This window comes from Homo sapiens, chromosome 8, assembly GCF_000001405.40.
Source record: "Homo sapiens chromosome 8, GRCh38.p14 Primary Assembly".
In the NCBI taxonomy this organism is placed as follows: Eukaryota; Metazoa; Chordata; class Mammalia; order Primates; family Hominidae; genus Homo; species Homo sapiens.
The window spans coordinates 141285436-141307958 of NC_000008.11; the positions used below are offsets into that span (position 1 = coordinate 141285436).

Genomic DNA, 22523 nt, shown 5'->3' on the forward strand with positions numbered 1-22523 from the left:
TGACCGGCCTTGCACTTGGCCCGAGGTCACGGTGTGTCATGTTTTTCTGCGGAAGGACCCCACTTCAGACAAGACCAGGGGTATAAACCGCACACGAGCAGTCAGCCTCCAACAAATGCATCTTTACAAGTCCTGTGAGGTCTGCACTCCACCCACTGCACATCCACGGCCACGTCCGTTTAAACATATTTCCCAAAGAGACGCGCACCCCAAGTTAGGGAAGCGCCGCCCTGGGATAACGAGGACCAACAGGACAAGACTGAGAGGCAGGAGCACAACCCACGGCGGAAAGCACGACACCGGGCAGGGGTCTGCAAACGCCCCGTGCCCCCTTCTGACCGGCCGAGGGCACCTGAACACATCCTTGGCTTTCAGTCTTTCCCGAGTGCATCCTAAAGATGTGAGATCGTGAGTTCTAGCCATGGTCCCAGTAGGGCACCCTCAAGACCTCTGGAACCTGTGTGGTGCTTCTCACAACAGAACAGGGCCGGGCACCTCCTTGACACTGTTCCTCAGGAGAACCAGCAGCGTGAAGGGGCCTGCGGTTGCCTGGGGTGGGGGCAGACGTGAGCGGCACCTCGTGGCTCTGTGGCTCTTGTTACTGACCCCACAGGCGTGGGCAGTTGCATTGCAGGGACCAAGGACACACTGGCTCCCCTCCGCTGGGGACTTCCTGGTCGTGAGCTATGCCCAGAGGAGTCAAAAAGGCACAAGGGGAGACAGGCCTGGCTCCAGCCCTTGGGGTGCCCAAGGCACTGGGTGCCCACAGCCCCTCCTCGGGAAGGTGAGGTATGGGCTTGTGACACCCCTTCCTTCCCTCGGGAGCTGAGGAGAATGGGCGGTGGTGGTTTACTGCATGTTCAGAAAAGGCCTCCACCCTCACCACCCTGCGTGAGACATGGGATCTGTGCCCTCAGGAAACTCAGTCCGAGAGGTGGCCTCACATGCGCGGTTGTTACAAGCAGAGCCAGGTAAGCGCAGAAGCCTGCCAATGTATCTTCCTGGTCCCTTTCGGGGCACCCTTTACCCACACGCCCTACTTAAACCACTTGAAACCCTTTCCAGATGAGGGCAGGTGCAAATCGAGGAATTTATACTTCACAAGAAAAGTACTTCCCCCATTGAATATTTAAAAGAGTAACTGCACCCATCTGCATTTGACCCTGCTTCCTACTCACACTTTCTTCAGAGCCTGCCCCCCAGAAATGTGACCCCCTGTTATCAGCCAGGAGCCCCAGGAATGGGTAAGGCCCCAACTTTAACTTCTTTCCCACTTGTTCGCTTATCAGCAGCAGCCCCCCCGCCCCCCCGCTCCCCACCACCGACCCCATACCACGGCCTCCAACCTCTTCCCCATCTTCCCCCAGTTAAGTTCAAGACTTGGGAAAAATAGAAGCAGCTGCTCTTCACAAACTACTTTAAACCTTACAACGAAGCCAACCAAAATAACTCCATAGTTCAATGTCAGCTGCAGTGGGGAGGAGCTGCAGAGTTCTCTTGCTGGCGGCCACGGGGCTCCCTCCTGAACTCATCCAAGTTAGTATTTTTATCACCAAATCCTAAGACTATCAGAAAACATCTGAGGCCGACCAAGCACCGTGTGACCTTGAGGAAGTCGCCTGACCGCTCCAGGTCATGTGCGAGGCCTTAGGGTGTGAACAGAGCACTTCCCGGTTCCTTCCACTTCTACACGCTTTCATTCTACAACTGAAAACCACACACGAAGGTGTGTGTATCATCATGAGAGAGAGGCCTTCAGAGCCCAGCAGCAACCTATAATAAACAGACTATAAACTCAGCACAGCTCATGCTTTCTTCAAAAGACTGATTTTAACAGGCAGAAGACATAACCGCAGCTATGAAAACCTCTCCCGGCGGATACTAACTACAGCATCGTGACTCAGCTGCTCTGATGCTCTGATAGGTGAGGTCACCTGGATACTACAGGTGTTTTCACAAGAGGAAATAACCCACACGCAGGGCACGGAGCGCAGACTGTGCCCCTGCCACAGACCGGCCTTCTCCCCAAAGTCCCTCGTTAACCCTTCACGGCAAGTCTGGAGTTTCCCATTTCCATGGCCAGGACGCTGGGCTTCTGGCCTCCTTGGCTGACTGGACAATTACAGACAGTTGAGTACTGTCTTTTCTGTGAACACTAGCATGTATTTAGCTTAAAAGGATCTTCTGTGCGGCATCTTTTCAGTCTAGCGAGAGAATGCTTTAGGCCATAACAGGTGAAAAGTGCCTCCTTTCACCTGCCACCCCGTTCAAGAGCTGCCAAGGTACAGCAGGCTCTCTGCTGGGCAGAAGCAGGCAGCCGGGTGGAACAGCTAGAATCTCCAGCATCTGCAGACGGGCCTCAGTGGGGCGGTGAGGAGACGGCTCTCAGACCTCCCAGGGCACAGTCCACAGGGTAGCACACAGGAGGGCCCGGGCCAGGGGCACCTGGAGGAAGACGGGGCTCAGAGAAGGAGCAGCTCCATCTCGTACCCTCTTGCGCCCAGCCACCGAGGGGGACTAGACGGCTTTGCACCGACCCCCACGTTTCTCCCACCCTCCTTGCCCCTTTCAAGCCTATGTCATGTCAACAGCCTCCTTTTTGGTGGTGGCTCACATCTGTAATCCCTGCACTTTGGGAGGCTGACGTGGGAGGATCGCTTGAGTCCAGGAGTTTTAGGCTGCAATGAACCATGATCCTGCCACTACACTGCACTCCAGCCTGGGCGACAGGCTTGAGTATGTCTTAAATTTTTTAAGACAGGCTGGGAATTCATATTCACGCTGCCCTTCAGAGCCTCGAGGGCTGCCCTTGTGCAGCTCATTCAAAACCTGCAGAAGGCTGGCCGCTCAGTGCAAAACACACAAACACCAGAAACAGAAAGTTCACAGAAAAGGAGATGCAAATGGCACTTAGGGGTGTTCAAGCTCACGTCCAGTAAGAGAAATGCAAATTGCAAGCGCATCGGTACGCCACATTTTCACATACGACAGAGTGACCCACCACGGGACAAGGCTCCAGGCAAAAGCCCTGACCGTGTCTGATGGGGACCACGCCTGGTTGGACCGCTCATGAGAAGCACACTTCTCTTGCCCCACCAAGTTAGATCTTCTGGAGCCCAGCTAGTCTACACACAGGAATTTCTCCTACAGGCCTACTTCACACAGCCAGGGACCTGTGTACTGACTATGGCACTGTCCTGTCCTGCAGGACTGAGGCAGCCAGGGCCCAGCAAGCTGCAGTGAGCGGGGTCACACTGCCTGAGGTCTGTGCTGGACACACAGCAGGGACTGGATGGAACCTATGCTCTTGGGGCACTCACGGAGGGTGCCGGCCCTGGCTACTTCATGCAGAGCCACTGCTGGGTTGGGAAAGATGACAGGAAGACGAGGGCAAGGGGCACAAGTCCCCGTGCAGCCACATTTTCTGTGGGACTCCCCGTCCAAATGCAGATGGCCAGGCAGCTGGCACAGCAGAAGAACTTGGGGAGCAGTCTGGACTGCAGTCAGAGATGAGTCAGTACCATCGAGGCGCTAATCCTTCGGCGTGGGTGGGAAAAGAGGTCCAGGAAAGGAACCCAGCTCCCAAGAGGGAGGCAGAGGCAGAGATGTGGTCCCAGAGGAATAAGCAGGGCCTCAGCCGGCCATGAAACCAGCCAGGTGCGCGATGGAGTCAGGGCCTGGGGAAGAGGATGATCGGAGAAGGCGGTGCCAGGGAACAGTGGGCACAGAGGCCAGGGCGAGAGCAGAAGGGGCAGAGGCGGGGATGGCGGGGGAGTGCACACTGCACTTTCGAGAAGGAGTGAGAAACAGGGCTGCTGCTTGGGAGACTCGGAGCCAACAGGGGTTGTACTTTTGTCCTTTTTAGTGAAAGACATTAAATCCTACACTGATCAAAAACCTAAGTTCCACGCCTTAGTTCCCCTTAACTCACTCACCCCTTCCATCTATGACAGACAGTCATCTGGAGTGAAGTCTAAGAGTCACAAAGATGTTATCTCAACCGTGGCTCAGCATTCAAACAAGGATTCTAATCTTTCAGGGCTCCAGATGGGAAACAGATTGCTGAGAATTATCAGTTTTATTTGAAGAGTGCAGAGAGGCGATTTGTACAAATGGGTATGACTGGGTTTTCCTTGGGCGGAGAAGAGCCGGCTGGCCTGCTGAGAAGCTGGCTTCCTACTCCGGTGGACGCCATGCTGGAAAGGGTCAGCTTCCTGTAGTAAGAGAAGCTAAGAGGTCAGGGGCCAGAGGGACCTTCAGGGGTCCCCTGCGGCTGTGGCCTCTGCAGAGGGGGGCTCAGGGAGGCCTGGAGTGAGGGCTAGAGAAAGCCCATGGCCCGGGGTCTTCCAGCCCAGCCCAGGGAGCACTCCAGGTAAGGCAAGGCCTCACCACCCTCCAAGTCCTCAGCACTAGGAGCCCACCAAGAGCCAACTCTGCCCTGGAGGCCCCGGACACTGGAGCGAGGTGCCCCCAGCCCTACAGCTTCAGATCCCAGATCTCAGTCCCCTACAAAGCATGCAGTCCCTCACCTCAGCAGGGAAAATGAGCTAGCAGAGAACTCCAACACCCAGACATCGCCCTACAAAGAACTTTAAAGAAGTAAAAAGCAAAAAACATATTATGTTACATTATGCTAGACAGTACTATCATTATACATCATATGTATAATTATACATGTCCATATATAATATATACACGTATGTATGTATATATTATACATGATCTACATCTACGGTCATCTAACACTGCACTGTATATAAAGGAATCTATTTTTTTTAAGTGCGTGGTGCACATCTGGCTGTGAGCTCACCACACGTGCAGGTATCTGACCCCAGGCTCCTCTCCAGGACTCCTCGGCACCGGCAGAAAGGCCCCAAGTGCCGCAGCTCCAAGCCCGGCCCTCCCACTCAGGCTGGGCTCAGGGTTGAGAATTCCACCCGCCACTCCAACGCTGCCAAGTCTTATCTCTGCCACATTTCTCAATGTGACATTGCACAATTCTTTTGGACAACCTTGACTTTCCGTGGTGCTCACTGCTAATTTTAACTACCTGATGTTTCCCCACAAAGTAAATATGAGGTGTTCATGCCACCACCATGGCAGCGTTCCAGTCACTCTGCAAATTCGGCCAGTTTCGGTCATGACAACGACATGAAACACAACAACCCAGGCGTGAGGACAGCCACCCTTGGGATTTATCTCCACTGGGGATGAAACCAGGCCGCCCTCCTCCAGGGCTGCCAAACACAGCTCCCATGAACGACCAGGTCAAGCACGTTGTCCTTGGGTCCAGAGACAGACCAGGCAGCCCACGCTGCGTGTGGTCTTACCCTACGGTCCAGAGACTGCAGGGATGTGGCGGGGGGGCCTGGGGAGGATCTTTCCTGGACACACATAAACAACACCTAAATTGTTTTGTTTTGTTTTGTTTGAGACTGGGTCTCACTCTGTCACCCGGGCTGGAGTGCAGTGGTGCGATCTCAGCTCACTGTAACCTCCGCCTCCTGGGCTCAAGCGATTCTCCTGCCTCAGCCTTCCAAGTAGCTGGGATTACAGGTGCCTGCCACCATGCCGGGCTAATTTTTGTATTTTTAGTAGAGACGGGGTTTCACCATGTTGGCCAGGCTGGTCTCAAACTCCTGACCTCAAGTGATCCGCCCACCTTGGCCTCCCAAAGTGCTGGGGGTGATCCACCCACCTCAGCCTCCCAAAGTGCTGGAATTACAGGCATGAGCCACCGCACTGGCAAAACACTCCCTAAACTGTATACAAAATTGCATCTATTTGCATTTTTGTGAGAACAAGTTTACAGCTTTCACCACATCTCCAAAGGAATCCATGACCCAGAAAAGATAGAGAACCAGCCCAGTCTGGAGAAAGAGGGCTGGGGGACACACACGCGTTCATCTAACTGGCCAAAGGAATTTTTGTTGTGATGTGGTTATTATCTTCTCATAATTTTTTTTTAAATCAGTCCTCCCTTTTGTAGTTTACTTCAGAATTTAGTTGGGCAATTTAGGTTCATACCAAAACAAAAAAGGGGGGGCAAATAGAAACAAAGGAAAATAGATTCTAAGTTTAGGAAAAGCTATAAGTAACAGCGCAGATCACTACAGAGCTATTTTCTGAAGCTCATCAAACACGTACTTGGTGATGTCAGAAAGTAACAGTCAAACCACATTTTCTAGAACTGATCCAAGAGGAATGGACAAACGTATGAACGACTACAGGTAAAACTACTGGCATCTGTCAAATAAAACAAATCAGGCGAGCAGTGGTGTCTGGAGTGGAGTCCCTGGGTCAATGTTACTGGCGTGGCTTGCCAGGGCAGTGTGAGCTTGTTGTGAACCCTCTGTATAGGTGTTAACTCATGCATTTTGAAAAGTAACCCAGGACAGACCCAGCCAAGGAAAGACTGAGCTAGAAAAAAACAGCAAAATACTGGTTTCACATTTCATAACCAAAGCACAGGCCGTCCTCCAGATAAAACGTTCATCTCATCTGCATGTTAGGTTCAAAGAAGCGGCTGGGACACTACCGCTCAACCCTCAGATTCTGGGGTCTGGCCACCGCGTTGGCCCTCAGAGCTGCTGCTCCTGCGTGCCTGGTGCTGGGAGGCCATGCGCTAACTTAGGTATCACAGCACAGAGAAACCAGACCTCACGGCCCTACTCCCCGCCCCTCACCGCCCTGGAGCTGCCTCGAAGCTGCACACGGCAGACAAGCGGGTGTCCATGCACAACCTGGGGCAGGTTCTCACAGGAGAAAACGGCTCACACTCAGGAGACCTGCATACATCCCCGACCAGGGCACGCGGCATTCTGGGCCCGCCAATCCAGCTGTGGGCTCAGGCCACGTGGCACACTGGGCCCACTCTGGGCTCAGGTTCCTCAGCTATGTGGGCCGACACAGACTTCTGCTCCCTCCCCAAGGCTCTAAGTTACCGTAAACTTATGGCCACAGCTCCCACCCAACAGGGAACCACACAAGGAGGCCGTGGAGCACAGAGCCCCGCACGCGCCCAGGGCGGGAGGCTGGCCAAGCACACAGGCTCCTCGGGTCCCTCCTCGGAAGGCTGCGGCCCGCTCCTGCACCCCTGCTCTCTTGGGGGGTTCCAGTAACAGCTCCCTCCGTGTGCCCCTTGGGCCTGGAGTGGAAGCAGCAGCATGAGGCTTCACCCCTCCTTGCTGGTGTCCCTCAGCCCTGCCCGACCCTCGGTCCAGTCCTTCCACTGCCTCCTCTCTCTCTCTCCTTGCAGGTGCCACTTGCCGCCTGGTAACACGAGGACCTGACTGACACAGCAACTAACATCGCTCCACAACACACACAGGCATACACAGTCTTCATGGGTCACTGAAGGTGTCAGCGACAAAAACCACACCCTATCAACGCTGATGAAGGGCTGGCTCTAAGAAGTTCTCCATCAGCTTGTTAACAAATCAAGACTAGAACCATCAGCCTTGAAGCTGGCTCTAAACTGCAGGACAGATGAGTGCGCAGATGCCTGACTCTGGGACACTCAGGCAAGGGGCCTACATACCCCCTAGGGCCCAGATTACAGGTCAGTCATCGGAAATGGGGATTGGACACCCACATGCATGGTGACTCGAGGACAGCACCATCCTCCCCCACCCCCCTACTGAGGCTGGATGCGTGGGCCTACGTAATGCACGCCAGCAGTTCACTGTGACTACAGCCACCTGCTTCCTCAAGCCCACAAAGTGAAAAAGAAAATGCGGCCGGGCGCAGTGGCTCACACCTGTAATCCCAGCACTTTGGGAGGCTGAGGCAGGTGGATCATGAGGTCAGGGGTTCGAGACCAGCCTGGCCAACATGGTGAAACCCCATCTCTACTAAAAATACAAAAAACTAGCCAGGAGTGGTGGCAGGTGCCTGTAATCCCAGCTACTTGGGAGGCTGAGGCAAGAGAATCACTCAAACCCAGTAGGCAGAGATTGCAGTGAACCCAGATCACGCCACTGCACTCCAGCCTGGGCAACAGAATGAGACTCCGTCTCGAAGAAAAAAAAAGAAAATAAAATGCACGGCAATGGCACTGTACAAAGTGCAGGGTGGAATCCGCAAAGTTCCACTGAAGACAGTGTGGCAATGTCTGCCTTTGAGCTTAGCTTAGAGTGTTGGGACAAGGGGGAAGGCATGCTCGGAAATGCATTTTCTGTGTACAAAACTTCTCTGCAATCAAAAAATGGAAACAGACCGGGAGCAGTGGCTCATGCCTGTAATCCTAACACTTTGGGAGGCCGAGGCGGGCAGATTGCCTGAGGTTGGGAGTTTGAAACCAGCCTGGCAAACATGGTGAAACCCCGTCTCTACTAAAAGTACAAAAATCAGCTGGGCGTGGTGGTGCACACCTGTACTCCCAGCTACTTGGGAGGCTGAGGCACAAGAATGGCTTGAACCTTGGAGGTGGAGGTTGCAGTGAGCCGAGATAGTGTCGCTGCACTCCAGCCTGGGCAACAGAGCGAGACTCTATCTCAAGAAAAAAAAAAAGTAAATGTAAAAAAAAAAAATCATCCGCGGTAAAGATCTACAGAAGAAAAAGTGAGAAAAAATGGTTTGAACAAGGGTTGAGACATCTGGTTTGGGGATTCAGGCCAGCTGGGAGCAAAAAGAAGACCCTTGGGCACACCACGCTGCAGACCAGGAGGACCTGAGTCCGTGGCCCAGGATCTCTGTAGACCAGGGTCTCCGTGGACCAGGGTCTCTGTGTACTGTTAGCATAGCACTCCCCCAGGGCCAACCGAGGGACCCTGCCTGAGCTTCCTGGGGACAATGTGCCACCTGAGAAAACCCACAGCGACTGGTCAGGGTGGCTGGACAGAAGCAGGTCTCAGTCAACGCCTGCTGTGAATGAACAAGCCGCATCGGGAGGGACCAGTGCGTGCAGAGGGAACGTGCACCGGGGCCAGCCCCTGCCTAGAAGCAGAGCAGGAGGTCAGCAGAGGCAGCCCTGACCCCAGCCCCCGCCTCACCAACCCAATTCCAAGGTAGCACTGCAGGCAGATGGCCAGTGGGGACAAGGCTGGCCTGAGGCTTGCTGGGACACACGGTCCCTGCTGGTCCAAGGCTGGGACTGTGGAGCCCCATGAGGCCTCCCCAGAGCGGTCCCCTCACAGCCAGTTCCCTGTGAGCAGTGGAACTGCACCAGCACTCCTGTGGCAGGAACGGCTGTGAGCTCAACGTGGCAACCCACGTCCCGGGGAACCCATGCATGCTAAATGGGGGCCACCAGCCAGCATGGCAGGAGAAACACACATGTGAAGACAGAGGGCAGCACAAGAGAGGGGAGCGGCGGTGCTGAGCCCCAGGCCCAGTTGGTGCGGGACCCCTGGGAGGGAGGCACCCTGGGAGGGAATCAGCTCCTAAGTCACCACTTGCAGAGCCCACCAAGGGCCAATGCCAAACCTAGGCCTCATCTAACCCTCTGGGGGCTCCCAGGGCACTCCCAAGTGGCAGCCTCAGCTCGAAGGTGAGGAAAGTGAGTCAGGAACTGGCAGGTAATGGAGCATTCACACCCGGCAGAGTGGGGGCAGCAGGTTCCCCAGGTTCTCCGGGGACAGTCCTCCCACTGGACTTCAGGAGAGAGCTGCGGGCAGGCCTGTCTGTCTTGGGTTGGCAGAGGGGTGTGGACATTCCAGAGAGGGAAGTGAGAACACACACTGGACAGGAGGAAGCAGCGCTGTGTGGTCAGAGAGGAGCTGCCACAGGCTGGAGGCATGTGAGCCAGGGAAGGCAGCCCCTGTGGGTGAAGGGAAAGCAGGAGGGAAGCTGGGACCACACCTGCTTTATGGGTGGGGCCCTGGGGCTCAGAGAAATTAGAGATCTGCCCCAGGCCCCTGAGAGAGGCACCAGGATCCAATCTCTGCAGGACCTCCCAGTCCTGGCAGGAAGAGCCCAAGGGCACCAGGCGGAACTCCCAGGGCCGCCACCTTCAAGTTAGGCTCAGTTCCTCCATGAAGATCTCTCTCTTTTTAAAATGGAGATAACAGCGCATCACAGGGCTATTAACATTGAAAGTTTAAGTGTTATCAGGAACTACCGCACTCAGCAGGGGACAGGTATAAGGAAATCCCTTCTGCAATGACGTGAAGGCATCTAAGATGCAAAGAAGCTGGTCTGGAACACCCACTTCCACAACACAGCACCCAGGGGGACGCAGAAAACAGGGTAAACGGCTCCACAAGCAACTCCATCTCCCTGAACTGCCCCACGGCAGCACTGACTGAGGCCCCTCGATTGACCACTCGGAACCCAACATCAGTCTGAAAGGTCTCCAGAGGCTGGAAGCACCTGGGAAGGTTACCCTGGTTGAGTGAACGTGATGAGAAAAAACAACTTCTCAAGGCTGAAGGCCTTGAGTGCCCCAGCAGCCAGCAGCCCTGCACCGCCCAGGATGGTGCGGAGCTCATCTCGTAAGGTCAGAGGCTCCCTGGCTTTGGTGCTGGAGCCCTTGCCCCTCTGGCACAAAGGGACAAGGTGTCCACAGCCCGGGGTCAGCCCGACAAGACCACCATCCAAGCCTGGCCCCTAGGAAACAGGCTTCCAGCCTGGGCAACATGGTGAGACCCTCCCTATATAAAAATATTTAAAATTAGCAGGGCACAGTGGCTGACGCCTGTAATCCAACACTTTGGGAGGCTGTGGTGGGCGGATCACAGGAAGCCAGGAGTTTGAGACCAGCCTGGCCAACACAGTGAAACCTGGTCCGTGCTAAAAATACAAAAATTAGCCAGACATGGTGGTTCATACCTGCAATCCCAGCTACTCAGGAGGCTGAGGCACGAGAATCGCTTCAATCCAGGAGGCAGAGGTTGCAGTGAGTTGAAGTGCAGTTGCCCACTGCACTTTAGCCTGGGCAACAGAGTGAGACCCTGTTTCAAAAAACAGTAATAAATTAGCCGGGCATGGTGGCACACGCCTGTAGTCCCAGCTACTCAGGAGGCTGAGGCAGGAAGATGGCTTCAGCCCAGGAATTCAAGCTGTAGTGAGCTATGATTGCACTGCTGCACTCCAGCCTGGGTGACAGAGCAAGACCTCATTTCTTAAAAAAAAAAAAAAAAAAATTAAAATTAAAATTAAAATTAAAAAAAAAAAGAAGGCCAGGCGTGGTGGCTCACGCCAGTAATCCTAGCACTTTGGGAGGCTGGGGTGGGTGGATCACCTGAGGTTAGGAATTCAAGACCAGCCTGGCCAACATGGTGAAACCCCATCCCTATTAAAAATACAAAAATTAGCTGGGTGTGGTGGCGCACACCTGTGGTCCCAGCTACTCAGGAGGCTGAGGCAGGAGAATCGCTTGTACCCACGAGGCAGAGGTTGCAGTGAGCCGAGATCATGCCACTATACTCCAGCCTGGGTGACACAGCGAGACTCCATTGCCAAAAAAAAAAAAAAAAAAAAAGTGGAGGGAAAGACCCTCACGCCCTTTATCATATGAAGACAGAGCAAGAAGGGGCGATGTTTGAACCAAGAAATGGGTCCTCAGGAGACACCAACCTGCCTGTGCCTTGTTCTTGGCCTTCCAGCCTCCAGAACTTGAGAAAGAAATCTTTGTTGTTGCAAAGCCACCTGGTCTACGGTACGTGTTTGAAGCAGTCTGACCACCCTAAGTTACTGAGTCCCCCCCAGGTTTGCCACACTGAACCAGAAACACCAGTGAGGGCCTTGGGAGGAGGGTCAGAAACTGCTTCCTCTGGTTCTTCTCTACACCATCCACTTGGTGCTTCAGGAAGCACAGGCAGCTCCCTGGCTGCCTTCCCCTCTGAGTTATTAAAGCCAAATGCAACAGGGCTCCACCAAGAAGAGGCGGGCACCCGGTGGGCGCCGGGCACTCTGCCTGGCAATGCGGCAAGTGGATGCTGGCGGGGGAGGTAGGCCTGGGGTCCACGCCTAAGGCCCGCTAAGCCGAAGCAGAACTGTGTGGGCAAAAATAAATCCCCAGATGGACAAGGCTCTGAGGGGATCAGGAGAAAATCCACATGGAAATGTTTAAAATCTATTTCCCAGAACCCTATCATCACCAGGCAGAAACCACAGCCTGCATTTACAGGGCTTCCAGGCTCTCCCACAGACCCAGAAAACTTAATCAAAAACCTATCTGAACTTTACAACCACAAACTGGCACCAGCCACGGGCCCTTATCAGCACACAGCCTGGCTGCTGCAGAGATGGCACGAACTGTCAGGAACCAACCCGGGACTGACAGCCCGGCCAGTGGCCATGCCACACACAGCCTGCACCTGTGGACTTTCCATTTGCAGAGATCTAGGAAATGGCAAAATGCTTTCTTCTTTTTGCATAGATTTTTGAATTAGCAAAACTGCCACTGGCTAGTTCACTTGTTGAAAAAAACTGTTCCAATTTTATTTTAAATTTGATTAGCTTTAAACATTACCTCATTTCATTTCAGGAAAAGTTAGCAAGATTTTTCTCACACACAGCCACAGTATTAAAGAGAAGGACATGACACCCAAAATTGCAAAAAAAAAAACAAAAAACCTTCTCCATGTGACTGTTCACCCAGCTTCTCACTCCAGCTGTGGATGGTGGGCCACAGCGCTGCCCGGGAGGCCCACCTGCTGTGCGACAGCCCTGCGGCAAGCCCGACTGGCCCACCATCCCCCGTGTCCACACTCCCCAGGCTCTTTCTGCAAAGCCCTTCCCTTCATCCCACAGGCCATGTCCTTTAAAACTCAGTTCAAAGACTAGTGAGAGTCAACAGAATTGCTAACGGGTGATGAATCTGGGGATAACACGATTACACTATTTTCACTACTTTTAGGCATGTCTCAAAACAACCACAGTAAGAAGTTTTTAAGAAGAACATTCTGTTTCTTTCAAGGACTACCTGCTCAGACGTTTTCCGCACCCAGCCATGGGTCAGATGCCCTCCTCGGGGTTCCCAGGCCTGCCCCATCACCCTGGCCAGATGGCTGTCTTCTCAGGCACCTGCCTTGAGCCTGGCACTGAGCAGCCACCTGGGGACCATCTCCAGAATGGAACATACCACAGCAGGCCCAGTCCCCTGCTAGCTCACAGTCTGAGCCTAGTGACAGTGCCCAACAAGAGGGCAAAATTGGGCACCAAAGGCTCAACCCAGCAAGCCAAGTGGCCAACCCGAAAGAAACAAGGAAACAAATTGGAGCGGCAGCACCTCCTCCCTGACCTCCGCAGGAGCCAGGGAGCCAACCCAGAGGGCAGTGCCAGCTGGGCACAGCTGCCCATACCTGTGGCAGCCAGGAGTCCTTCCTTCCAAGCTCTTGGCCAGGGAGGAGGGGTGTGGGAACTAGCATGCTGCGTGGGCCAACAGCAGGGCTGGCCACAGAGCCCCCTCCAGCAGCAGCTACCTGGCATGGGGAGTGACCGCAAAGGTGCCTCAAAGTCGAATCCAAGGCATGGAGGGCACTGCTGCATTTCTCCACGCAGAAGACAAACGGCACTTTTCAGTGGGGGGTGGGGGGAGCTGATGAGCAGTGCGACCCAGTGGCCCACAACTGCACTAGGCCGGCCGTATCCGGTGGCTCCTCTCCCTCACCAGTGCCCCCACCAGGCGCTGCTCCAGAGGTCCCAGCTGGGCGCCCGGCACGGATGCAGATGCCGCACTGTCTAGCAGCGTGAGTGCTGCTGTGACCCCTTCTCAGGCGCTTACTGAGTGCTGGAGACAGAAACCCCTCACACACCCTGGTTACCACACGGAAGCAGAAGCTCCGAGCACTGGGTGGCTTCTGGAAGGTCACAAAGCCAAGGAGGGCCCAGCCCGGACTATAAACTCTCCCTGCACCCCACCCACAACGAGGACGCCAGGCTTCATGATGTTTCTACGGAAGGAGAAAGCGGACGGGGAGCCCCGTGCCTTTAAGAATTAAAAACACTCTCGACACCTCAATAGTTCAGTAGTGGACTAGACATGTTTTCAACAGCCTTGATATTCCCTTCGGCTTACCTAGGGAGACACCTGTCACACTAGAGACACCAGCTCCAGGCTGCAAGTCCATAACAAGACCACCTGAGCTGTGGGTGTCGTTCTCGCCACCAAATCAGAGCTGCCCTTCAAATGGGCACGGTTAGGGACAGCAGAGCGGCCGTGGCCGCAGCCCCGGGATCCGGCTTCATCCAGCAGAGGGTGGTGGTGCGCAGGCCCTGATGGGGGAGGACTTCCACACTCCAAGCTTTTAATGCCGTTTTACGTAAGCAACACGAAAAAAACCACTAGCAGTTATTCTAGTACTCCTGGCTGGGAGCGGATTTGCATACTGAAGTAAAGCCTCAGGTTAGGGCAGGAATTTCTAGAACCAGCTGGACTCTGCTGTACCTGTTCTTCTTCAGCAGCCAAAACGTTTCTCAAAGTCTTTTAAGAGACTGAAACATTGATTTCAGTATTAATACCCAAAATACCACGAAAATATAAGGATTTGCTGCTTTGGAGAAGGGACCAATGGAGGATCCCCTTTCCAGGGTGATTTAATCCGGTTCTGTGGGGGTAATTAGGGGCTGGCCTGTCTTCCTGGTCCCGTTCTTCACTGTTTAAACCGCAGGATTCCTAGAACACGACCGTGGAACTGCTCTTCTCCTCACCCATCCCTGGAATGAAGGCACTGGCCCCATGATCTGACGACATCATCGCCTCCCCAAATAGCTGCATGGCCGAATTGGAAGTGACGCATTCTTAGTGGACTCCTAATGGCCAGCCCTGAGGACAGAAGACAGGTTAAAACTTCAGCCGGACCCACATTACCGATTCCACAGAGTTGGGCGAGTAGCCTGCTTTCCTCCAACAAAGCTGGGAGACACCAGAGACCCCAGGTCCGTCAAATCTCCTCTTATGTCATAAAACCATCACACAACGCAAAGTTCTACTGCTCTCAGTCCTCAGCGTGCTGTTTCTGAGTGGGATGGGAAGTGGTGGTTTTTTGGTTACTAAACTGATTTTCTTACCAAATTTCATTAGGTCTAAAGGCTAAAAATAGTAAATCTTTCTACTTTTTGAGCATCTCCAGATTTGAGCAAATTCTCAGGGATGCCAAGTGTCAACGCCCCGGACCAGCCTCATCTGGTTCTCGGGCAGAGGCCCACCTTCCCAACCCACCCCATGGCCCTGATCCTAATGGCAACCTGATGGCCTGAGACCAGCTGCCTCGCTCCGGAACAGGCACAGCGATGCCCTGTGCAGGAAGAAGGGCGGAGCAGGGTGACCAGATTCCTGCCAGGCAAAAACCTCTAGCAAATCTAAAGTCTGGCCATGTCAGTCTTCTCTGCTTCTAACACACCTTTCTGTCAAATTAAAATTTAACCCGAGGCACAATTCCACTGTCTTACATTTTAGCCCAACCAGATGAAAATGCCGCAGCGTGCTTACTCGTGAAATGGTTCATCTTCTGCCCTTTAACACTGCGCATTTAGAAAACAGGCAATTAAATAGTAAAGCTTAACATGGAGCAGCACGGACCCCGTGACTCGACGAAGTGGCGTGGACCTTACCCGTGGACCAAGTGTGCGAACACAGCACAGCAAGCGCCCCGTGCAAACACAGGAGCATCCTGAGGGGCCTCCGGTGTGGGGAACTCAGAGAGCCGCAAGGTCCCCACAAACGCCTGCCTAAAACTGGACTGCCTGAGAAGCTGCTGTGGAGAAAGTCCCGGTGCCCAGGGAGCCCCCACCTCCAGCCTGCCTGCCCCGCCTAGACAAGAGGAAGGCACTCTTCCCAGGGAACGTTCCAGCAACAGAGATGTACCCGGTACCAGGGACAGTTCAATTATCCCTTTAATTAAGGCACCTTAAACGGGCCCCACCCCCCAGCTCTTTGAGACCTCCTTCCGGTGTATTTTGTGCATTTAGTAATTGTTTATCAAGATCAATGATATTTATGTTTCTGTGATCAATTCTGTACTGATAATTACAATGACATAAAACATTCTTCTGGATGTTAACATAGCCTAATGATCACAGAAATGTTTTAAATTGCAATATATACTTTTGTCACAGAGAAGTATGGAGAACAGTCCATAGGTCGGGTGCAGTGGCTCATGCCTGTAATCTCAGCACTCTGGGAGCCTGAGGCAGGAGGGAGGGTCGCTTGAGGCCAGGAGTTCATGACCGGCCTGGGCAACATGGTGAAACTCTGTCTCTGCCAAAAATACAAAGAAAAATTAGCTGGGCATAAGCCCAGCTACCTGGAGGGTGGAGGTGGGAGGATCACTTGAGCCGGGGAGGTCGAGGCTGCAGTGAGCCATGATCTCACCACTGGACTCCAGCCTGGGGGACAGAATGAGACCCTATCTCAAAAAAAAAAAAAAAAAAAAAAAAAAAATCCTGGGCAACTCAGTGAGACCCCATCTCTGCAAAAAATAAAAATAAAAACTAGCTGGGCATGATAGCATACACCTGTGGTCCCAGCTACTCAGGAGGCTGGAGAGAGAGAATTGCATAGACCTAGGTGGTCAAGGCTGTAGCGAGCCCTGATCCCACCACTGCACTCCAGCCTGGGTGACAGAGGGAAACACTGTCTCAAAAAAGAAAAAAAAGAATGAGGGATGAAAAGACTTTCAAATGGAGCAAACATACAAGTTCACAAAGAAAAAAACTGCCTTGTCAAGACTGTTAAGAACAATTTGTTCATTTTTTAAAAGGGTGACTGATGGTAGGTATCATTAGGATATTTAACATTGGATACTTTTTAAAAAGCAATACAATGGTTACTTTTAAATGCCAACATTATACTAGAAATTGCATCTTTTGCAGTTGTTTCAAATTAGGACCAAAAATTTAAACATCAACTTAAAAATGTGTCTATAGTTTTTCAAAGTTTTTTTTGTTTTTTAGATGGAGACAGAGGCTTGCTCTTTCGCTCAGGCTGGAGTGAAGTGGCGCAATCTTGGCTCACTGCAACCTCCACGCCACTCACCATCACCACCACCACCACCACCACCCCCATCCCCGCTGCCCTCCCTCCCCCCGACCCCACCCCTGCCCCCAGGTTCAAGCCATTCTTGTGCTTTAGCCTCCTAAGTAGCTGGGATTATAGGCGTGCACCACCACACTTGGCTAATTTTTGTATTTTTAGTAGAGATGGTTTTGCCATGTTGGCCAGGCTGGTCTCGAACTCCTGACGTCAGGTGATCCACTCACCTTGGCCTCCCAAAGAGCTAGGATTACAGGCATGAGCCACCGCGGCAGGCGTAAAGTTATTTTACAGAACACATAAGCAAAAATGTTTTCAGGCCTTTGCTTGACAGCAATGTAACTCTAAAACATTCCTAATTCATTCATCACTGACAGTGAAAAAGCTGCCTCTACGATACTCAGGCAGTCCCCCTCGCCTCGTGTCTAACATGCTCTTAATATGCGATTTCATCTCCAGCGTGGAGATGTCAAACCCCTCCCCTCAAAAAACTTACAAAATATTCCCTTCCCATATACACCAAACCAAAAACCATGCTCTTGAATAAATGTATTTCCCTAAAATGATGACTACATTGTTGGTGATAAGGAACTTATTTTCTGTTTTTTCTTATTTTCTTGTTTTCTGGCCTTACAATGTCTTTTTTTTTTTTTTTTTTTGAGACAGGGTCTCACTCTGTTGCCCCAGCTGGAGTGCAGTGTGGGTGTGATCTCCCCTCACTGCAGCCTGGACCTCCTGAGCTCCAGCAATCCTCCCGCCTCAGCCTCTCGAGTAGTTGGGACCACTGATGTGAGACACCGCATCCGGCTAATTTTTTTGTATTTATAGAGACAGGGTTTTGCCATGTTGTCCATGCTGGTCTCAAACTCCTGGGCTCAGGCAATCTGCCCGCCTCAGCCGCCTAAAGTGCTGGGACTATAGGCACGTGCCATCGTGCCCGGCTAATTTTTGTTTTTTTTTTTTTTTTGGACAGGTGGGGTTTTGCCGTGTTGCTCAGGCTGGCCTGGAACTCCTGGACTCAAGCGATCCTCCTGCCTCAGCCTCCAAGAGTGCTGGGATTGCAGGAACGAGCCTCTGTGCCCAGCCTGAGTGATTTCCTAAAATTGTGCAATAAGGGTCATATATAAAAGTATAATGACCACCACACCTGACCAGGTAAGCACTGTGTTGATCCCTCTTTATTATCTATTCTAAGGGTTTGCTATGCATTTTTCACTCAAGATTTTCCTTTCTTTGAAATAGGAAAAATTTGGTTGCCAGTCAATTCAGATGGCTCCAGGATTTCAAGGCAGAACCCCAAGAGAAACCTTGGGGCAAACTACAAAAACTCAGAGCAAGTAGCATAACAGAACCCCAGGTTGGAAGGGACTTTTCAATGCAGCAAATTAAGCACCTCTGGGCCAGAGTTCAGGAATGCAGTTTCCTCTCACTGCCAGCAAAATCCTTCAACAGGTTTAGGAGGATGAAAGTACCGAGACCCAGGTCTGAACAATACCTCCCTCACTGGGGCCTGGGCCCAGTAGAGGTGGGAGGGTGAGATGGCCAAGCTCAATGACTTGAAAGGTTACGCAAATCCCTTCAGCTGCCTCAGGATCCCACTCTGGACTGGCTGGCACCCTTATTCCTGCACTGGGGACAAAATGCCCAGCACTATTCCCCCCCGCGGCTCCCGACAGACTCTGAGAGTGAACTTGTGTTCTGGAGCCCTCACTAGACAGGAAGGTGGGCCTTGGGATGACCCTCAAAATAATGCAGCTACAGCCCAGCCCCTCTAACTTAAGAGAAATCCCACCAGCTGCGGTAGTATGAACCTATAACCCAGCAGCTACTTGGGAAGCTGGGGCAGGAGGATCACTTGAGCCTAGGGGTTCAAGACCTGCTTGGGCAACACAGTGAGACCCCCTGACTCTTAAATACACACACACACACACGCAAAGGAGAGAGACTATAATGCCAGCACTTCGGGAGGCCCAGGCAGGCAGATCACTTGAGGTCAGGAGTTCAAGACCAGCCTGGCCAACATGGTGAAACCCCATTTCTACTAAAAATACAAAAATTATCTGGGCATGGTGATGTGCACCTGTAGTCCTAGCTATTCGGGAGGCGGAGGCAAAAGAATCGCTTGAACCTGGGAGGTGGATGCTGCAGTGAACCAAGATCGCACCACTGCACTCCAGCCTGGGTGACAGAGTAAGACTGTCTCAAAAAAAAAAAAAAAAAGGGGGGGAGAGAGAGAACTTCCTCTCCCTCTCACCTGAAGTCCCCAAGCTACACAGCAGCTGAGCCAAAGAGAACTCAGAGCCCTTCTCTCCATCATCAGGGTTTTGTGCTATTTCCCGCAATCTAACCAGTCGCACTCAACAAATGACCCCTACCAAGTGTCCCGTCTTCCTGGGGCAATAACACCCACGTCGTCTGAGGTGGGAACAACAGCAACCCATCCACGGCTCTCAAAGGGCCACTCTATCAGGGATATGAAACACTAAGTGGGTTATGCGGCTGCCCTCTAAGTCTGTGGATGTTTTTAATCTTCTTAAAATGCCTCCTCCAAAAGTCACTTGCCAAGGAGGCCACTTCGTAAACACTATGCTGTTTCTCCTGTCACCTCCACCCAAATGGCAAGGGGTTGAAAATGACAATATGACCTGTTAAGCTTCCCTTTCGGCAGGCCCTCTCCTGATTCAGGGTAGAGAAGATTCATTTCCACGAACATTAAAGAGGTCTCCCGGTCCTCTGAAAGTGCCTGATTTCACAAAAGCTTAGCATTTGATACTCGGGGGAAAAGGCCACTAGAAGCACATTTTGAAAGTTTCACATTTAAAAAGATCCTTGTTCATTGATTTTGGTGGGGTAATTAAGCTAATCTAAACAAGGGGACCTTGTCTAGGAGCCGGTGGGGGAGGTGCAGCCGCTCAGGTCCTCTGCATGAAAACCCACTGCAGACGCCTGCTTTTGGGGTCCTCTCACCCCTTCCTTTCTACAAGGCTGCTCTTCGGCTGGGAGGTTTGCTCCCTCTGGTCAAATCTGTTTCCTGGCTCAGGTGGAGACAACCCTTCTGATGGTGTTTCACTAAGTGCGCCTTCGTCAGCATAATCACGCAGTGATGAAAACCTGGGGAACCTAGGAGGCCAGCGAGGAACAGTCCTCACCCATCATTAGCAGGAACGCGGCTTCCAGCATATTCTGCCTCCACAAATTACAGACACGACTCTGCCAGGGGTGTTCCCAAGAAGGGCACTGGCAATTTGGGGTTGTCTGCCACCTACAGTGCTTGTCAGTCACCCTCACTCGGTGCCAGGCCACAAGGCTGTTGGTCACAAACCACCCCAGCCAGCCACTGGGCGTCAGGACCCTCGGGAAGAGCGGGAGAGGGCACTGGGATGCACCACGGTCAGAACGACAATCACAGCCCGAACCCCTGCGCTGCACTCCTCTGTCCTCCCCACCTCTCTCCTGACAACACAGATACAATCCATTCACCACCAAGCAACCTCAAGATTGGCTGAAATACCTTCCTCGGCTCCTTTCCTCCATCGGGAAAGTGGGGAGCTGCCGCTGCCGCAGCCCTCTCCTTCCCTGCAGATCTGCGGGGCGGGCTGGGGCGGGATCTCAGAGCTCACGGAAAGGAGGCAGAATCCGGTTTACAGGCTTGCTCCGCCCCTCCCCCACCCCCCTCCAATAAGCAAAGTTAGAGGGTGTTACAAGCTGCAAGACACACACCTTGGAGCTCACCCAGTCCAATCTCTGATCTGCTTTCACGATGCGACAAGGGCCAAAGCTGCAGCACGCATCTCGGCAGGGCAGCAGGCCACTCCCCCCACGAGGCCCGGGAGGTGGCCCTGGGCAGCCTCCCCACTCCCCGCCCTGTGAACACCTGGGCCAAAAAAACACACCTTTAAATACCCAGTGTGTATTTCAAACACATTTCAAACGATTTGCTTCTTTCCTTTACAGCCACTGCCACAAAAACAATTAGCCTGAACGGGTGTGAAATCCTTGATGTGTAAGACGACCTAGTTCCCCAGCCTCTCTCTAGAAACACATGAGTTCTTTACTGCGCCTGAGTCTCCTCCACCCGGAACCTGCAGGGCTGCCTCTTCTCATCAAGTGGCTTCTGCAAAACCTCTCCCAAGCATTTAAATAATCTCTGCTCGTTCTTTTAACAATAATTCAAACCTAGCAGAAAAGTGAGGACACTATACATTTCTTTTAAGGACAGTGTGTGTTACCTGCTCTGATCCCCATGTGTTACACTCCCTAACCTGTACACCAATACTCCAGCTTTTTGTTTTCTTATTTTTTCCTAAAGCCAGCACAAAATAACAGAAGGATAAGATTCCTACCACATTCTACCTGTCTGCCAATGACACAGGAAGGATGAGACCGTCTGGGGAATGGAAGCGCAGGGCGCTCTCAGTAATGCTGGGCAGATGCAGTGGCTTTTCCCCAGCAGAAATGGGCTTCGATTCAGAATCTACCAGCCCACAAGAATCATCTGACCCCACAACAATTAGTTCAATCACTCATCTGGTAAACCCTCCTCGCTCCGGGTCATAGACTGGAAAAGACAGCCCCCAAAACAGTAATAAAAACGACAAGCCCTGTTTTGCTGGAGTCAGCTGAGGTATCAGATGGGGGTCAGTGGCTAGGTCTGTGAACCTGAAGCCACACTCCATCAGTGACCCGCACTGGAGAGACACAAACACCTCAGGCTCCTTAGGAGGTCAAGCGGCCCTTCCCAGCCCTCCCTAGCCCCCGCCTTCTAGAATCATTCTGAATAGCTAACCAGGAGGCTGGGCCCCGTGTGGATCCGCCTCCGCTGGAAAAGCCGCTGCTGGAAGTGCTCCAATCCAGAGCAGGATACCTGGGGGAGGAACGGGTTAAGCGCAAAGGGGAAAGGGGCAGCGGGTGCTGAGACGCAGAAGGTGCGGGGACTTCTACAGAGCAGGGAATCTGGGCCCGGATGAACTGATGCCCTGGCCTCTTTCCTCCAGGGACAAGGTCGGTCTCAGGAAATCAAGGTATCTTCAAAGGGACACAAGGGAGCGCAGTGCCGATGAGACCGGGGCAGAGCCACAGTCTGGCGGTGCAGGCTGGGGGTCCGAGGCGGGGGACACTGGCTAGCAGTGCTGCCAGGGTCGTGTGTGCACTGGGCAGAGGGAAAGGAGGGGAAGAAGGGAAGGGGAAGAAGGGGAAGAAGGGAGTGTGTTCGGTTGGGAGGACCGGTCCAGACAGAGGGGAGAGGGGGCCACTTCGCGAGTGGTGTATCGCTGGTTGAATTCTCATAAGTTAGAGATAGCAGGCAGGGGTTAGAAGGACAAGACAGGGTCAGGACCAGGAGTTAGAGGCGCCAGGCTCCTCTCTGGGTAGAGAAACCGAGGAACTGGGGGCGGGGAGGACTGATGGGTGCGAAAGCGGGCCGGGTCCAAATGAAGGCGCGCGCCCCGGGGTGGGGGCCGGGGTGGGGGGAATGAGGGAGGCTGCAGGGCTGGGGACCAGGGCAGGTGCAATCCGGAAAGAGGAGGCGGGAAGGAATTGGGGGGCCCTGAGGAGCCAGCGCAAGCCGGGTGGGGGCACGTCCCCTCCCCCGGAGAAGGTGCGGGGC

At 53.0% G+C, this 22523-nt stretch overlaps 1 protein-coding gene across 15 annotated transcripts in view, besides 4 other annotated features; it reads right to left on the reverse strand.

Moving 5' to 3' along the window:
• The window catches only part of SLC45A4 (solute carrier family 45 member 4), a 101115-nt gene that overhangs the window by 78262 nt on the left and 330 nt on the right, over positions 1-22523 (reverse strand). For 4 of the 15 annotated variants that reach the window (XM_011517171.3, XM_047422012.1, XM_047422009.1 and 1 more), the window contains exon 1: positions 20430-20516. The exons of 5 other annotated variants lie outside the window; for them this stretch is intronic. Coding sequence is in view for 1 of the 10 variants with exons in the window: in XM_047422004.1 (XP_047277960.1) it covers positions 13964-14015 (52 nt within the window). In the remaining 9 variants the exon portion in view is untranslated. Of the gene's footprint in view, positions 1-13963; positions 16077-20429; positions 20517-21704; positions 22458-22523 lie in introns of those variants that run through there. 6 more of the 15 variants (XM_047421997.1, XM_047422002.1, XM_047421999.1 and 3 more) reach the window with 6 other exon arrangements.
• Positions 4297-4952: an enhancer, noted in NCBI's record as "H3K4me1 hESC enhancer chr8:142299831-142300486 (GRCh37/hg19 assembly coordinates)". NCBI's record gives its function as "activates a minimal SCP1, AML or CMV promoter by ChIP-STARR-seq in naive and primed H9 embryonic stem cells {active_cell/tissue: H9 hESC(naive and primed)}" and the evidence as "EXISTENCE:reporter gene assay evidence [ECO:0000049][PMID:30033119]".
• Positions 13609-14315: an enhancer, noted in NCBI's record as "H3K4me1 hESC enhancer chr8:142309143-142309849 (GRCh37/hg19 assembly coordinates)". NCBI's record gives its function as "activates a minimal SCP1, AML or CMV promoter by ChIP-STARR-seq in naive H9 embryonic stem cells {active_cell/tissue: H9 hESC(naive)}" and the evidence as "EXISTENCE:reporter gene assay evidence [ECO:0000049][PMID:30033119]".
• Positions 14358-15207: an enhancer, noted in NCBI's record as "H3K4me1 hESC enhancer chr8:142309892-142310741 (GRCh37/hg19 assembly coordinates)". NCBI's record gives its function as "activates a minimal SCP1, AML or CMV promoter by ChIP-STARR-seq in naive and primed H9 embryonic stem cells {active_cell/tissue: H9 hESC(naive and primed)}" and the evidence as "EXISTENCE:reporter gene assay evidence [ECO:0000049][PMID:30033119]".
• Positions 15208-16056: an enhancer, noted in NCBI's record as "H3K4me1 hESC enhancer chr8:142310742-142311590 (GRCh37/hg19 assembly coordinates)". NCBI's record gives its function as "activates a minimal SCP1, AML or CMV promoter by ChIP-STARR-seq in primed H9 embryonic stem cells {active_cell/tissue: H9 hESC(primed)}" and the evidence as "EXISTENCE:reporter gene assay evidence [ECO:0000049][PMID:30033119]".